This window comes from Homo sapiens, chromosome 3, assembly GCF_000001405.40.
Source record: "Homo sapiens chromosome 3, GRCh38.p14 Primary Assembly".
Classification (NCBI taxonomy): Eukaryota; Metazoa; Chordata; class Mammalia; order Primates; family Hominidae; genus Homo; species Homo sapiens.
Genome location: NC_000003.12, coordinates 142,946,897 through 142,964,011, shown reverse-complemented (window position 1 = coordinate 142,964,011; position 17,115 = coordinate 142,946,897). Strand labels below are relative to the sequence as shown.

The window sequence follows — 17,115 nt, the reverse complement described above, 5'->3', positions numbered from 1 at the left end:
CCCAGTGTCCTCCAGAACGCCCGCGTGGCTGTCGGGTTTCGAACCCCAGGGCCGACTCTAGTACTCGGCGCGCGCGCCGCCGCGTCGCCGACCAGCCTGCGGCCCCCGCATCAATCATTAACGGGGCGGCCCGGGCTGCGGCGGCCCGAGGAGGGGGATGGTACGGAACTCGAGACAGGGGACAACTCTATCCCCCGAAGCGGCCGCGAAACCCTAGCCTGGGAGGCCCCCGCCCTTCCTCGGTGCGCCCGTCCCTCCCTCCGCGCCTCGGCTCGCACATCCCCACCTCCCGCTCCGGGGGCGGCGGCGGCGGAGGCACCCGCACCGCGCGATGCCCAGTCACCGCTGCCGCGCTGCCGCCGCAGTCAGCCGCGCCGCCGCCGCTGCCGCAGCGCGGGCGGCCGCGCGCCGGTAGCAGGGGCTTGGCGAGGAAGCCGCTGAGCCTCGCGCGCTCCGCGCTCCTGGCGGTCGCAGCGCTGCCTATTAATTGATTCTCTTATTGATTTATTTAATTTTTAGGAGCGGCTGCTCGGAGGCACGGGTCTTCTCCTAAACCTGCAGCGACGCCCCCGGCGTGGGCACAAAGGCTCCGACGGCGGCCGGCGGGGGCTGCCCAGCGCCCGGGAGCCGGCGCCAGAGGTCGCCTGCGCGCGCCCTAGCCGAGCCCCGGGCACCATGCCGCGGCGCCTGCAGCCCCGGGGCGCGGGCACAAAAGGCCCTCCGGCCCCGGCCCCGGCAGCTTCGGGGGCCGCCCGGAACTCCCACTCTGCCGCCTCCCGGGACCCCCCAGCGTCTGCCAAGCCGCTGCTGCGCTGGGACGAGGTGCCCGACGACTTCGTGGAGTGCTTCATCCTGTCGGGCTACCGGCGTCTGCCGTGCACGGCCCAGGAGTGCCTAGCCTCGGTGCTGAAGCCTACCAACGAGACGCTCAACTTCTGGACGCACTTCATCCCGCTGCTGCTGTTCCTGAGCAAGTTCTGCCGTCTGTTCTTCCTGAGCGGCGGCGACGTGCCCTTCCACCACCCGTGGCTGCTACCGTTGTGGTGCTACGCGTCGGGAGTGCTGCTGACCTTCGCCATGAGCTGCACGGCGCACGTGTTCAGCTGCCTGTCGCTGCGTCTGCGCGCCGCCTTCTTCTACCTGGACTACGCGTCCATCAGCTACTACGGCTTCGGCAGCACGGTGGCCTACTACTACTACCTGTTGCCAGGCCTCAGCTTGCTGGATGCCAGAGTCATGACTCCATACTTGCAGCAGCGCCTGGGCTGGCACGTGGACTGCACGCGCCTTATCGCCGCCTACCGCGCCCTGGTGCTGCCTGTGGCCTTCGTGCTGGCGGTGGCTTGCACTGTGGCCTGCTGCAAGAGCCGTACCGACTGGTGTACCTACCCGTTCGCGCTGCGCACCTTCGTCTTCGTCATGCCGCTCAGCATGGCCTGCCCCATTATGCTCGAGAGCTGGCTCTTCGACCTGCGTGGGGAGAACCCCACACTCTTCGTGCACTTCTACCGCCGCTACTTCTGGCTGGTGGTGGCCGCCTTCTTCAACGTGAGCAAGATCCCCGAGCGCATCCAGCCGGGTCTTTTCGACATTATCGGCCACAGCCACCAGCTCTTCCACATCTTCACCTTCCTCAGCATCTACGACCAGGTGTACTACGTAGAAGAGGGCCTGCGCCAGTTCCTCCAGGCGCCGCCTGCCGCACCCACTTTCTCGGGTACTGTGGGCTACATGCTGCTGCTGGTGGTCTGCCTGGGGCTGGTAATCAGGAAGTTCCTAAACAGCTCCGAATTCTGCAGTAAAAAGTGAGCCTCCGCCTTGGAGGAGACTACTGGTTCGCCCATCTGTTTGGAGTTTCTGTTGTTGCTATTGTTGGTTTGTTTTCAAATTTCATTGTGTTTTCTTCTTTGCTCAAGGAAGGTGCTGCAAAACCATAGGGAAAAAGTTCACTGCTACAAAGGGATCCCAACCCACTGGAGGCTTTGAAGTAGGGAGGTTGGCAGGGGTGGTCAAGCGGGAGGGAGATAGTCACTTGTTCTTGCCCCTGGAAAAAATTCAGGTGATGTCTTTGACATCCAGGGATTTCTCAAAGGCAGTGAGTAAAATCCCAAATAAAGCCCCAAAGAGTTTGCTTTTCCAATCATCTGTGCCATTGGTAATAAGGAGTAGCCCCTGTGAGGTCAGGTACACAGTAAAGAGGGTAAATAGAATCCTTGGGAACTTCTGTTTCAGTCTGAGGAATGCTTGGATTTGTCAAAAGAATGGAGCTTTGTAGGAAACAGGCACAAAGACGCAAACCCAGGGCTTAACCTGCTAGAAAATGCATGGAATGTGAACACAAGTTAATTATTTCAAAATGTTTTTCAGATGTTATTTAAATAGTAATATATACATTGATTTTTCATAATTTATCAAAGCCTGTGGTACGCACTGAATTTTCTTTGTCACATAGTTTTGAATTTCACAGCCTTCTGCATTGCATACACTTGAACTGGACATCAGGGGAAGCTGCTTGAGAGTTCTCAATTACTTTCTTAAACAGTGTTTTCTGAAGGCGTGTGTCATGATACAACTGTGAATTCTACCTTAGGGACTCTGGTTAAACTATTGGTGAGGAGCTCGAGTGGTTTGTATAGACCCCAGATTTTTGTTTACTTTAATGTATTCCACAAAACCCATCCTGGTTTTTGTTAGTTTGTTTTGTTTTTAATCTTTTTTTTTCCTTCTCTACTTATTTAAATTGCCACTGGAATAAATGTGCCTTTTGAAGCAAAGTCCAAATGACTGGTCCTCAAACACAGTTTCTTACATGGGGAGAGTAGTAAGAATAAGCTTTTCTTACCTGACTGAAAATCAAGGTTTCATGGTCCATCCAGGAGGGCAGAAGATGGTGTTGGTTTCAAGTTTTTGGTGGGATTGGAGATAGCTTACAGGAGCGTGCAGAGCATTTGGGTTCCCAACAAGGACAAAGAGCCAACCCTCTAATGTAGATGTGTTTCTAATGCAGCCATGGGAGAAGTTCTAGACTGATGCCATCCATCCTTGCTTAAAATTAAAAACATAATATCCAAGAATAAACAAGGCAGTTTTATTATGAAAGGCAGGAGCACATTATTGAGTTGTCACTGAAAATTTTGAGTTAAATAAGATTACACTTGCCTAGTTAAACGCTGAAGTTTGATTTGGTTCCAGACTATGGAAATGATGGGCAGTCACCCTAAATCCTTGAAACATTCATGAGCATGTCCCTGAGATCCTTTCTAACAAACAGATTAGCCAATGTTATTTAGACATTTCTTACAAATGCTAACCTGTAATTGAGATGGCCACTCTAGATTAACACAAACCACTGAGATGACTTGTTTAAATACTTACCACACTTCCTGGTAGGTCATTTTGTTAGAAGCCAAATAAGTCATTGATTGGGAGTTTTTTTTGTTTTGTTTTGTTTGGAGACATGTGTGCCTTTACTGGCTCAGCAGGAGGAGTGGGTGGCCCTCATACCCAGCCAGCTGTACTTCACTGGCTTGTAGGTGATGGAGAGCTTGCCCAGGTAGTGGTGGCTTATCTTGGGCTTGATCTCCACTGCCTAGTTGAAGGTCTTGGGCAGGATGATCATGTCCCACAGGTGCATCTTGATTTTATGATATAACTTAGATCATGCATATGAGGTAGATGAACACTTACCTCAGCACTGGTAGGCTGGCACTTCTAAAACAATTGCTGGTTTTGTTTATGCTTTTAATCACTTCTCTGTAAACAGAGAAGCTCAGCACAATTCCCTGGAGGAACCGGTATCCTTGTGTGTGTTACTTTGCACATAGAAGTTAAATTTATATATGTCTATATTTAATTTAGAATCTCTTACTGAGATTGTAAATACACTTTGCACAGTTGTTGACGAGTGTCAGTGTCTCATCCTTTGTGAAGTGCAAGGAGATTCCTGTTAGGTTACAGAGGCTAATTTGTACTTACAACAGATGTTATTCCTCAGCTGTAACTTAATTCAATAGATGCATTCAAGGACAACTGTGGAAATCAGGATATTTCCACATGCAAATTTATTTGCATGTCATTGTTGTTTTTTCTAGAGCCCCAAAGAACATTGGTTTGGAAGCTAGAGAAACAGGGTGAAGCGTATTATGTAGTTTCTTTGTAAAATGGGACCTCAATTTCAGAAGGAACTTTCAGGAGGAAGACTTCTAGCAAGGATTAATGAGTTTGAGAACAATAACTAAAACACCAAATTTGTCATTTTAATTTTTTGTTGTTCTTCCAGGTCCACAGACAGAATTCTCTTCTTGTCCTTTGTCTTTGACCTTAAGGAGAGGCCACTTAAGGATAAAATTATACCCATATCATTTTTCAGGTGATTATGCTGCATGAGTACAGTGAGATGACACACTTTTTGCCACACAGGTTTCAGCACCCAGTATGTCCCAGAGAGAATGAGGATTCACTTTCCTCTTCCCTTTGCCTTTTCCTTCGTCCACTGTTCTTTCCTATTCCATCTTAGATTTTGTAGACCACATATAATAATGACAAGAGGACATTCTAGTTGAAAACTGGTTTGGCTTCACTTCATGTTTGCAAATAGGTACCATATACACTAGTCAAAGCCAGGGATGATTTGTTAAACTATACAGTTTATTTGCTGAATTTATTAAATTTCTTGATGTTTTAGAAGTGAATATTTACTTTGAATCTCCCCATTTGCACGGAACTATCCAGGTTTATTACACATTTCAAGGTAATGTGGCAATCAGAACAATATATATTTTAAAATATTTTTCACACTTTCCATTTTGCCACATTAAAATTCAGTTTTACTTTATTGTGTTCAGCTGTTTGAAATGTAGGACAAATTATAAATAAGAATTCAGTCCATTATCTATGTACAACCTATTTTGGCAGTAGAATTTTGAAGCATATTATGTAATATGTTTCATTTTTACTTGTTAGTCATGATCTGGATGACATCTCAAGGAGCGGCGCCATAGAGTCATGCCTGGAAAATGAAGGTGTTTGACTTCGGTGCCTGTCACCCCGTGGGTTGGTCTCTGGGGCTGACTCAGACTGACTTAGTTGGCTAATGGGGTTCCTTTCTTCCCTGCCGTTCTTGCAGCTCAGGTGAAGAGGATGACCTTCCCAGAGAGAGGAAATGAGTTCCTCGGTCATGTCATGACTGGCTTGTAAAAATAAATGTGAACTTTTCCACTAGCCATACACTTTCTATAAATAGCCCAGGGAGAAAGTATGGGGCTACAGAGCTGGACAGAGTGGCCTTCATATGTTTCCATTCATAAATCCAGCTTGTAAGTGCTTGCAGTCAAAAAACAATTTAGCCTAATTTATAGTGATACTTCATAGGAATCATTTCTAAGAATGCAAAATTTTGGGACAGAGGTGATTTATATCATTTTTTCCTGATTTGGTGCCAACTCTGAGGACTAACAGCAATAATAAACAGGAATTTTTATCTTTAAATCTCTTCATAACTTTAATTAGTTAATCTGCACAAAGCTATAATAGGAGACAGGTATGGTGGGAGTTATCTCCATTTCAAAGCTTTATAGTTGGTCCAAGGTGACAGGATTAAGTTTTCAAACTGGCATTAGAATGCGGAGACCATTGTCTGCTCAACTGTGTTTACTAGTTTGCATGGCTATGATGCCTGGCCAAGCACACAGACACTAATTGGAAAAAGAGATATAGATACAGTCCCTTAATTGACTAACTTTAAAATTGAGCAAAGTGAGATAGGGCTGTCTTTGAAATTAGATCAAAATATCTCAAACAAAATGTTATCAGCCACTTAAAATGGTTGTTACCATCTTGTTCTTCAACTGTTGAAGTTTACCACTGCTGACTTCACTCTGTCAGCAATCTTTGAGCTGTTCATTCATGCACTCATATCATACCTTTCATGATCTTTGAGCACCTACTGTGTGTAAGACATTGGGCAAGGACCCATCCGTATTATTACAGCCATTACCCTTTTGTCTTCTGGTGGAAGAGAGAAGCCCCAGAAAGTCTCTCTGGCCAGGAACCAAACTCTGACCTTGGCTGTAGGTAGAATGCCGTAAGTCCCTGAGTTTGGGTCTCTTTTTTTGCTAGCATAAGTGCAATCCATAGAATCTTATTTCTATTCACATGCTGACTTCCTCAGCAATCAATTTCTTTCTTTTTTCTTTTTCTGTGTGCTCCTAGGCCTATTGTTAAAAATAACTTGAAAATGTAATGTACAATCCAAGTGAGGGGATAGTCGGCATATGTACAGAATTGAAAAACTTATCACTAATATTATGAAAACACTAATAACGATAACTATTGGAAGATTGATAGTATTCATACTATTATGAAGAGTGGATCATCCAAAGTGCCTAAATTGAGATGTCTTTAAGTGTCTGAATTTTATAGTGTAATAAAACAAACAAACAAACCAATCACATACATAAGAAGGTAAATGGCTAGATCTCCAAAATTAACTGAGATTAACTAATGCTCTCTAGCCTTTTAGGATCTTTGTGTTGTAACTTATGAAACATGTCTTAGAAAACATTAATCTGGAGGAAATCATTAAAAAGTGTCAGAGGTAAAAAAGATAGGAAGAATGCATGGGAAGGGGAGAACAAAGAGGATTAGAGTCAAACAGTCAGAATGGGGCAGCAAGTTCAACTGTGCAGTCAGCCTGAGTTTTAAATTTTGTCCTTAGAAAAGCATGTGAACTCCCAGGGTGTTAGTGTTCGAGTAGACAGGCAAGGAATTCTGTTTGTCAGCTTAACCACATCTTGTAGCGTTTGACCTGAGCACGAGTGTCCAGGTATATTTTGAGTGGTACATTTATCTCCTGGCTTAAAGCCCTTACTTTGTTTCCATAAAATTAGGACAGAGGCAAAAAGGCATTACGGGATAGCACCAGCCAATTGTACATCACCTTTTGAATCATTTTCTTGAAGGATTGTCAATATTCTCTGACATATATCACCTGACAAAAAGCGAACAAGCCTAGACAAACTGAAAAAGGAAGCATTCAGTGGTTGGAGCTGAGCACTACTGTGTTCTTTTGTGAGAGGCCACACGTTTTCTTATTGAAGATTTGGCTTCTTCGGTATTGTGAATAATTATTTCTTAATTGTGAAAATGGATGTCAGTTCTTCTTAGTCACTCTTCCAAAAGCTAATATAAATTTCTGTTGTTGTCATTTAAAAAAGGATAACTGTATTGCATTTCTGGTTTGCAGATTTCTAACCAGTTTGTAGGCATTTTTGTTCTAGAGTGGCTCCTTAAGAATCTGTGAGCAAGTTGCAGAATTAGAGTGTTTATTTATAGGTCAGGGGCCAAGAATGCTCATTTAGCTGTTAATTGTGGCAGGATGTGACTTTTGAAAGCTCTGAACATATACCTATATGCAACAGTATGCACACTTATTTACTATTTAGCTCAGTGGAAAAACAGCCTGCTCTTTGAGCTTTTGAGAATGTTTCCCAATGTATTGTGCTTCTAAATGTAATGCACTTGCTTTAATGCTTTTGTTCTCAATCAATCTCTGGAAGCTATTCCAAACATGGCATTTCTCAAGGAAAATTTCTTGAATGTGCAAAATTATTCTCCAATGTGTAAAAGTGACAGGCCACCTTTCCCTCATGCCTTATACCTCCACCCAAAATACGCAATAAGCACTCAAGGCAGAATGGGGGGTCTTCAGGTGGTCATTTGGCCGTGCTGTAAAGATGGCCCTGCTTCTCCCAGTACACCATGATATTGAAGAAGGACACTGTGTAAATAAACTCTTGTTTCTAGATAAAGCATGGGGACACAATTTCATTTCTTCTTAGTTCCATCTCTAGTTGGAAAGCATAATCTGTTTTTAATATGCTGGATGCAAAAAATAAAATTCCTGGGAAAATTTTTTAAAAAAGTATTTTAATTTTATATTTGTAAAGTTTCTAATAGACATTTGTTTGTAAAAACAGGCCTTAGCACATAAGTGAGAACCAGAGCTTTTTGGAAAGACTCATCTTTATCCGGTGAGTTTAATCACCTTGAGCTCTTACTCAAATGATAAAGACCTAGTAGGTCTTTAAAAATGTAAATAATGTATAGTTTAAAGAAGGATACAAATCATTTTTTAAAAAAGAAGAAAACACATGAGATAGGTTTTAGGTGTGTCTCATGGCTAAATTTAAAAGTCTTTTTAAAAATTCTGGTTAGAAACTTTATTAAATTCCCTCTTCCAGCAAAACCTAGCACAGAAGGTCTACTTTTCAAACAGGCTAGTTTTCTTTTCTGGAGGCTATGAACAAAATTATTCTCGCCAATCAACTGAGTACCAAGGCAATAAAGAGGTGAGGCACCTTTCACTTTGATGAGTTTATAAGCATGGTGAATAACGTAGCCAATAAAATGTACAGCCCTGGAACTCTGTCCCTTGTTTCTTCAGAATAGAAAGAAGAATAAGCCCCATGCCATCACTATATGGACCAGAAAAAGGCTTTCTGTGTTTCAGGGCTGGGGGAGGATTCTGTGGCTGCTTTTTTTTTTTTTTTTTTTTTTTTTTTTTTTTTTTAATTTGTATAGACCATGTGGTCGCTCTGAACTCTCTTCATTTCAGCCATCTCCCAGGCCATTTTCACTACCCTTGAAACTTCACTTTCCACATATCCAGCTTGAAGAGAAAAGATTTCTAAAAGGATTCCATGTGTATTTAGGCCTTCTCCAACCATCTGCCTTATGAGGTTCACCCATTTCCAAACAAAGGTTTTAAATACGGTGACTGTTCTTGGATTTGCAAGAATGTACAACCAGCAGGTCCCCTTTTGCAGTAAAGGGCATTATACTTGAAGGGGCATACTCATTTTTTCCTCAGGTCAGAGGCAGAGGGAAGAGTTAACAGTGATCAAATAGAGACCTTCATGTGTCTGTTTTTTGTTTTTGTTTTTAAGTTCATTTAAGGGTGATGACGGAGAAAGAAGGGAGTAAAAATGATGCGCGCACAAAGAAATTTTTCCCATTGCTTGCCAGATTCATTCTTTTTAGGCTACCCTTACTCCAGTCCTTACCTACACCCTAAAGAACTGTATTTAGCTAGCAAGAGAGGCATTCTCAGGATACGTGAGCTTCCAGGCATGGACTAACATGTGGTTTCAAATCAATAGTGTATTCTAACAGAAAAGCGTTACTTAATCTTAATTCTCCATTATGTGATAAAATAATCTATAGAAATAGGTATCACTTTGGCCAGTTCTGTGCATGTAGCTGAAAAAAAAATGTGACACATTTCTGTTGTATGATTTGCTATGATTTTGGTTTCCTGAGACATTTGTTCCCTACAGTCTTGAATATGAAATTCTGTGTAAATAATATGACTATGCATTTTTGCTGAAAAACAAATGTATGAAATAAGAATAAATTATTTGTAAGCACAGTGTTTAGGATCGTACACATCTGTGCATGTCCAACAGTTATCTTTCAGCAACAGGGTATTCCTAAATTAACAGTAAAATATTCATAACACTAATAAACAAGATAAGAAAAAACATTACCCTTTTCATAAAATGCAGCAGGCAGAAGGCAAGAGTATAAGTTTATCCTGAAGCACCCTTAGTATATTACTTTTTTATCATATTAGATAAATTAAAAAGAAAATTCATGTGTTACTTTGAAGCCATATCTTGTAAGAAAATACTTATATAACCCAGGTTATGAAATGTTTTCTTCCACCTTTCTGTTTTTCAAAAGCATATAGAGTCCATGGGCTTCTGTGTAACACATCTTGTCCCAGAACCTTGGTGATGTGTGTGAACTTACAGTATCTCTGTCCTAAATAACCCCAGCAAGGGAGATCCAACTTCAACTCTTAAACTTTGTGGTGATGGCTAAGTCTTTAAATCATGTTAATTATTGTTTCAGAGGTTTTTGGTTATCAGGAACAGAAAACTCTCATGAAGGAAGAAAAGGTTTGTAGGAGGAACACTGGGGAGTGCACATAGCTGACCACCCAGGCCTCAGGAAGGAAGGGAGCAGGGCAGTGCTAGAGATTCTGGTGAGAAACCCCTGCCTCTCCAGGGCTCTGCCACCAGATAAACTAGCTTCAGGGCACTGCCACCAGATGAGCCATGGTCAGCTTTTTCCTGGCTTTGTTGTGTCTGTCCCCAATTCAAATTCCTGGAAAAGAGTATCAGATTGGCCTACCTGAGGTCACATGGACTCCTCTAGAGACAAGGTATGGGTGCCTGTGATTTGAGCCCTTTCCAGAACCGCATGGAGGGTGGAGGTTAGTTCCCACAGGAAGGGATGATGGGCAGACAAAAACAACAGCTGTCCACTTCATCCAACCCATTGGCTGTCTGGTCCACAGGCATTCCACTATAATCCACACTCCTGAAGAGTGTGTGGACAAAGATCATGGGAGACTGGCGGTTTGAGCCATGTGCACTGTGTAAAGTGCTTTCCAAGCCAAGTGTCTTACCAGTGTGGGGTCCCTGTTAAAGCTCCGGAGCATGTGGAGGAGGGAAGAAAACCATGCTAACAGCCCAAAACAATAGCAACCACAGCCCAGCCCCTAGCTGGCTAGCACACACTCTCCTTTTTTATATACGCTTTCCTTAATGTAATACAACTTTTATTTGTACCATCGAAGCACTCTTGTCCCCTTTCCCAAAGACAACCCAAAGCTGCCTTCACTTAGAACAGCAGCAAACTTCCAGCACTCAGGTTCTCCATGTGAATGAAGGGAATTCCCTTCATTCAGGTCAGGATGTGACTAAATAAGACATTCAGCCACCCCCAACTCACTGTAGAAAGGTGGAGAATTGGCTAGCTGAGAGGCAAACTCCCACCCCGAACAGCATACCATTTCTAATGGCGTACTGTGCCACCAGTATACGGCAGCCATCACCCCCTGTGGCCTAGGATGGCCAAGGCCTCCACAAGCTGGTAGTGGAATGAGTTCTTCAGGTTCTGTGTGCTGGGAAGATCTCTGTCTACCTTGCTCCAGGGCCACTCCTAAGAGGGCTGCTCCATTTGGGCTGTCTCGTATCTCTTGAGCCTGTGCCAAATATCTGCTTGTTTGCTTTTAGATTCACGTTCCCATACTTCCCTTCATCTGCTCTGTATTGGAGCTGATTCTCAGCTCTCTTGCCCTCTGGCTTTTTGTTAGGTTCTGCCAAGGGGACAAATCACGGAAGATTGGATTGGAACAAAAAGCAGCAGAAGGCAGGTAAGTTTTCCTGTCCCTCCCCACTCTTCTTGTTTTTTCCTGGAATCCTCAGCCCTGGCTGCTACTAACAGTCACAGTGTAATCCTGAGGGAAGACAAGATAAGAAGAAAGCCAGAACATAGAGTGGGGCCAAACAAAGTAACTCACAAAGGAAGCCTTGATCAAACTGTGCTTGAGGCCCACCTCTACACCTTTGGACTTTTCCATGTGAGCCAATACATTTCCTTCATTTTACAATTGAGTTTAAGTTATATTTATGCCTTGTAATCAGAAGTATCTTAACAGATCCATAAAATTTGCTAACTTCTCAGCCATGTATAACAGGATTTGCACAGCTCCCATCCCACCATGACTGAGCCAGTCCCACGTTTTAGAATCTACCTATTAGATATTTGTGATACTTCATTTTTTAAGTACAGATATGCTGTATTAGGATTCAAAGCTACCCAGTGACCCCGAAGTGATGCCTGAACTGCTCTCTCCCATTCTTTATTGCAGATATTTTAAATATCTGACCCTACCACTCCCACCCTCTCCTCAACTCTGATCTTACCACTTCCCACCTTTTCAAGAACCACACTCTATCCATTACACATTGTTCTCCTGTATGTTCATCAACTACTTCTACTCAATAGGATTCCTCCTACAAGAATTTAAAAATGTACTACTAGTCTCTCCCACCTTCTAAAATGAGAAAGTCACCCTCTCCCCACTATGTCACACTCTAACAACACCCCCCCCCCTTCTTTTTCACAGCCAGGCTTTTTTGAAAGAGTAGTGCACACCGCCTTTGTTTTCGTACCTCCCACTCACTCCTTTACCCACTGCATTCTGGCTTCATTAAGCTCACTAGAATGATTCTTCTAAGATTTCCATCAGCCTCCTTGTTGATGGATAGACTTTTCTGAGATCCTCTTTCCCATTCTGTTCTCTTTGAAACACTCTTCCTTTGGCCTGTGTGACTTTTGTACTACTCTTTTACAGTCTCCTCTGCTGACTTTCATGCCTGACATCAATTTTCTCAAAGAGTGAAGATAGAGCATCTATACCGGTATAGCTGAAGGACTTTGGTCAGTGGCTTCCTGGTTCTGCCACTTTCTGTCAGCTTTCCTGCTCAATTTAGAGACATTCTAATTCTTGTTCAGAAAACCTTGAGTCCACTCCTGTAATTCTTCTAGTGAGTTTGTAAGCCAACCAATGCCTACTAATAAATCCCCTTTAGCACCAACTAGCTTCAGTAGATTCTGTTGTCTGCAATTGACCCCAAACTGATATATCAGGTAAGCAGAAAAGGATGGTGATCAGGAATGCTCTTTATTCCCCAAATCAATCATTGGCAAGTAGTCTACTGGGCCTTGAATTTTTTATCTTTAATTTTCCTTGGCAAAACAAAGCAGGTTCTGAATCAGACAGCTACTTCAGAGAGTTTGATTCTATTTCAAAGCAAAAAAAGAAACACTAGGAAAATAATTACCTAGGAATTTTTTTCCATAATGTTTACTTAAAATGGGTAAAGGGAGACACAATATGGATACTTAGAATATATGTCAAATGAAAAAGTCTCAAATAAATCCAGGCTTGGTTCAGTGGTTCATGCCTGTAATCCCAGCACTTTGGGAGGCCAAGCAGGCGGGTCACTTGAGGCTAGGAGTTTGACACCAGCCTGGGCAACATAGCAAGACCCCATCTTTATAGAAAATTAAAAAATAAAAATAACTAAAATAAAATAAATCCTATGAACAATAAGTGCTATTCTCATGTATCAATGTCATCTATATAATGTTCATATATAAATTCAACCCCTAATAACCAAAAATTCACTAAAGAGTATTCAGAATTCTAACACTGGGTGAGAATCCTGTAAGTCTTTGATCTAAAATATTAACTGTGGTCCTCCATTCCAGTGGGGAATGGCCAGAGTGAGTCAGGATCTCAGCACTGCTTGGTTTCCTCTTTCCCTGGACAAAGGTATTTATCCCTGTAATGCATCCCTCTGCTTCTGCTAGCAGTGCCCTGAATTTCCTTTGAGGAATAATCCTTCCTACTGAAGCTTGGTGGGACTGCAATCCAAGGTAGCCCTGCAAGCCCAGAGTTTCTCTCAATTCTTTATTCTCCATGACTTGCCTGCACAGGTCTTCATATAATTCTCTGAGTTACCCCATAGCCTTTCAATACATTATTTCTTTATTTTTTGTTCCTTTTTCCCACCTTAAGCTCATCAGAAGGTTCCCATTTCCTGTAATGAAAGAATATTGACTGAGGACTTAAGAGTTTCCAGTATGGGATGTAAGGAGCTTAGAAGTTGTCACTCCATCTTAACAAGTAAAAAGCTGAACTGAAAAATCAACAACTCTTCTTGGGTCCATCAGAGACATGAAGTCACAGAGCAAACTGCTGCCCCCCAAAATTGGAGAGACATAACAGGTAGACACAGAGAATCACAATTTAACAGAGCAGGAACCCACAAGAAGAAATTTCTGCAAGAACCAGTACCAAGTTCTTTTGTTCCCTGTACATCATGACTAGTTTCCAACAAAAAATTACAAGGCTTACCAAAAGACAAAAAACACAGTTTGAAGAAACAGAGCAAGCATGAGAACAGGCTCAGATATGACAGGGATGTTGGAATTATCAGGTTGGGAATTTAAAATAATTATGCTAAAGGTTCTAATGGAAAAATAAACAATATGCAAGAACCAACAGATAACGTACAAAGAGATGAAAGTTCTGAGAAAAAAATCAAGCATAAATGCTAGAAATCAAGAACATTGTGACATGAAGAATGCTTTGATGGGCTCATTACTAGGCTAGACCCTGCTGAGTAAAGAATCAGCTTGAGGCTATGTCACTAGAAACTTCTAAAACTGAAAAACAAAGAAAAAAAGACTAGAAAAAAATCAGAAGAGAATATTCAAGAACCGTGGGGCAATTACAAAAGGTGTAACCTACACTTAATGGGAATACAAAAAGAAGAAAGGGAGAGGGGAACAGAAGGATCAAATAAACACCCACTCAAACTCTGCAGCTTGAAAGGAAATGATATTCCACATAGAGACAAGACTTTTGAATTACTTTCTCTCTTCCCTTTCTCAGAAGTCCACTATCAGTTTCTGACCTCCAAAAACTTTTTTCTTAAGAGCTGAAAAAATTCCTAAAAGAAATGGAAGATGGAAGATTTAAGGAAACTGATTAACTTTGCAATTTATAAATAAATTTTAAGCCATAGGATTAATAAGAGGTTTCACATCCTGCCTGCTCCCATAATGTCCATTCTCTCTATCTTGATACTTTGCAGTTGTAAAAATATATGTGGAAAACTGAAAGGTGGGCAGAAGTGAACATTTATTAGTACAAAATGTAATTCTCTAAGAGCTACTTTACTACTTCAGGATGACCTGAGTGAAGCTAATGGCCTAGTTTTTACTCCAGCTCTTATTAATTCAGTGATTGACTGCATTAGTTCATCCCTACCTCACTGTCTATCTGTTTTGAGGGTAGGATCTATAAATATCAGTTTAGAGTTCTCTCAGATTCTTACTTTAGTTACACAGAAATGTCATAAAGTACAAAAGGAAACAGGTTTAAGGAAATAAATAATTCTACAGATACAGGTAATAAGCCAACTATAAGAAGATCGTGTCCCAGTTCTCGCCTGTTGTTATCTTTATTTTGGTTTGATTTTTTTGTTTTGATTTGATTTTTTTACTTTTGATGTTGGTGTTTTCTTTTTGCCAAGCTCCTAGAGAAAGCATCAAATATAAAAGCTAGCAGATGTGAAATCCTGCCAGAAGCCCCTCACTTTGATTTCTGGTGTTACCTATGTCTTGCCAAATGTAAAGCTTGTTAATATACAGGTGCCAGTTTGTCACATAAACACGTGAGGGGATCCAGGGCCAGTGGTATAAATCATGGTGCCTCGCCATGAAACCTGGCTACAATGAACTTAAAGAGAACAGCTTAAAAGGAAAAGCTGGCCGGGCGTGGAGGCTCACGCCTGTAATCCCAGCACTTTGGGAGACCCAGGCAGGCGGATCACCTGATGTCGGGAGTTCAAGACCAGCCTGACCAACATGGAGAAACCCCGTCTCTACTAAAAATACAAAAATATTAGCCAGGCATGTGGCGCATGCCTGTAATCTCAGCTACTCGGGAGGCTGAGGCAGGAGAATCGCTTGAACCCGGGAGGTGGAGGTTGCAGTGAGCCAAGATCGTGCCATTGCACTCTAGCCTGGGCAACAAGAGCGAAACTCAGTCTCAAAAAAAAAAAAAAAAGGAAAAGCTCGGGGGTGGGGGGGTTCTTGGCATTAGGTGGCAACTCTACCACTTTCTCTCCATTCAACTGTTTGACAAAGTCATTTTAGTCCCCAGGCCATCATTTGCGCTATTGTGGCAGGGGAACTGTCCTAGAAGGATGAGTCACAGCCACACTGAGTCAGACTCAAGTATGGCGAAGATGAGGTTCTCCCCTTGTTCTTGGGCATAACAAAATGGGTCTTGTCATACGAATACCAGAGTATCTTTTAAAAAAAACAAACATTTTTCTCCTGGTCCTCGCTGTCCAGTCCCGTAGCTGGTTTTGACAGACATCTGCCAAGCTTCAGTGTCACTTGGCTGCCACTAAAATCACTGGTGATTATTCACAATCTCCCTTAAGAAATCTCTAACAGGAAACAGGTGCCATCCTGAAAAATGGGACGGTGTGTCTGGAACAGCTGCCCAGGTGTTCGGAGCATCTTAGGGTCCAGCCTGGTCCTTGTGTCTTGGTGCACTGTCCCCACTGTCCTTGCGGTGGACATGGAGTTGGATGACTGCCCAGGCAGGCAACCTTGTGGAGGGGCAGTCTGAAGTTCCTTAACAGTAGGGAGGAAAAAGCGGGACTTCCAAGGTAGGGATGGGGGATTCTGACATTCCAGTGGTCACACACACACACACACACACACACACACACACAACTCAGAAACACCCTGGTCACCGTGAGACGATCTCCAAGCTGTAAGGGTTCCCAGAAAGGACCGTTGGAGAACCATGGGAGAGCTGAGGGGAACTGGGCACAGGCTGTCAGGAGTGGGGACAGGCAGGAAAATGGCTCGGGCTGGACTCCCGCAGGCCGATGCAGGCTCAGATATGCTGCCTGCGGGATGTCGTGCTTTCCAGGCGCGGGAGGCGTGGCAGGGGCCGGGGCGCCTGTCGGGCGAGGCAGCATCTCCTGGGGCAGTCCCTGAGCTCCTCGGTCGCGGGCAGGTAGATCCGACACAGCTGGGCGCAGGCGGCGGGGTCGGCCTGGGAGTCGGCTTGGGTCTCAGGGAGAGCGCGGGGAGGCCAGCATGGCAGGGCGCTGCGGCCTCGGAAGGGGAGCCAGGCAGGCGCCGAGAGGACACGAACTCGAGGCCTCCAGCGGCGCAGAGGAGAGGGAGTAGGCGCCGGGCTGGGCACGCCAAGGTGCTCTAAGTTCCCGCCTGCCCCTTCCTCCTCCTGTGGCTTCTTGTGTCTTGCATGGGCGGATCTGGAGTGGGTTCGACTTCTCGCGCCGTTATTTCATCCTCTTATCACCTTAGGCAACCTACTCTGCCTCTCATCTTCCATTTCCTCATCTGTAAAATAGAGCGGGAAGTATTTCTTACTTCATAGTGGTATTGTCAGAAGCGTTTGAACCAGAGCAACTCCATCTTGAATAGAGGAGGCTGGGCGAAATAAGGCTGAGACCTACCAGGCTGCATTCCCGGGAGGTTAGCCATTCTAAGTCACAGGATGAGACAGGAGGTCGGCACAGGATACAGGTCATAAAGAATTTGCTGATAAAACGGGTTGTAGTAAACAAGCCAGCTAAAACCCACCAAAACCAAGGTGGCAAAGGGAGTGACCTCTGGTCGTCCTCACTGCTACACTTCCACCAG

The 17,115-nt window shown here is 43.8% G+C and overlaps 1 protein-coding gene across 3 annotated transcripts, besides 2 other annotated features; it reads left to right on the top strand.

Moving 5' to 3' along the window:
* Positions 1-3: 3 nt before the first annotated feature.
* On the top strand, positions 4-14,848 carry PAQR9 (progestin and adipoQ receptor family member 9). 3 transcript variants are annotated; one of them, NM_001375300.1, is made up of 4 exons: positions 4-160; positions 520-1,805; positions 11,162-11,221; positions 13,436-14,848. In NM_001375300.1, exons 2-4 carry the CDS (start codon positions 676-678, stop codon positions 13,461-13,463), a joined length of 1,218 nt encoding a protein of 405 aa, NP_001362229.1. In that variant the 5' UTR covers positions 4-160; positions 520-675; the 3' UTR covers positions 13,464-14,848. The 3 variants fall into 3 exon arrangements, with proteins under 3 accessions (NP_001362229.1, NP_001362230.1, NP_940906.1); NM_001375301.1 differs by lacking the exon at positions 13,436-14,848 and adding an exon at positions 12,206-12,449; NM_198504.4 differs by lacking the exons at positions 4-160; positions 11,162-11,221; positions 13,436-14,848 and having other exon boundaries at positions 338-9,427.
* Positions 1,124-1,309: a silencer, noted in NCBI's record as "fragment chr3:142681545-142681730 (GRCh37/hg19 assembly coordinates)". NCBI's record gives its function as "represses an EF-1alpha promoter that drives an FKBP-Casp9 reporter gene in an ReSE screen in HepG2 liver carcinoma cells {active_cell/tissue: HepG2}" and the evidence as "EXISTENCE:reporter gene assay evidence [ECO:0000049][PMID:32094911]".
* Positions 4,505-5,704: an enhancer, noted in NCBI's record as "P300/CBP strongly-dependent group 1 enhancer chr3:142677150-142678349 (GRCh37/hg19 assembly coordinates)". NCBI's record gives its function as "activates an origin of replication core promoter dependent on BRD2, BRD4, P300/CBP, MED14 and CDK7 cofactors, with strong dependence on P300/CBP, by STARR-seq in HCT116 cells {active_cell/tissue: HCT116}" and the evidence as "EXISTENCE:reporter gene assay evidence [ECO:0000049][PMID:35650434]".
* Positions 14,849-17,115: the final 2,267 nt, after the last annotated feature.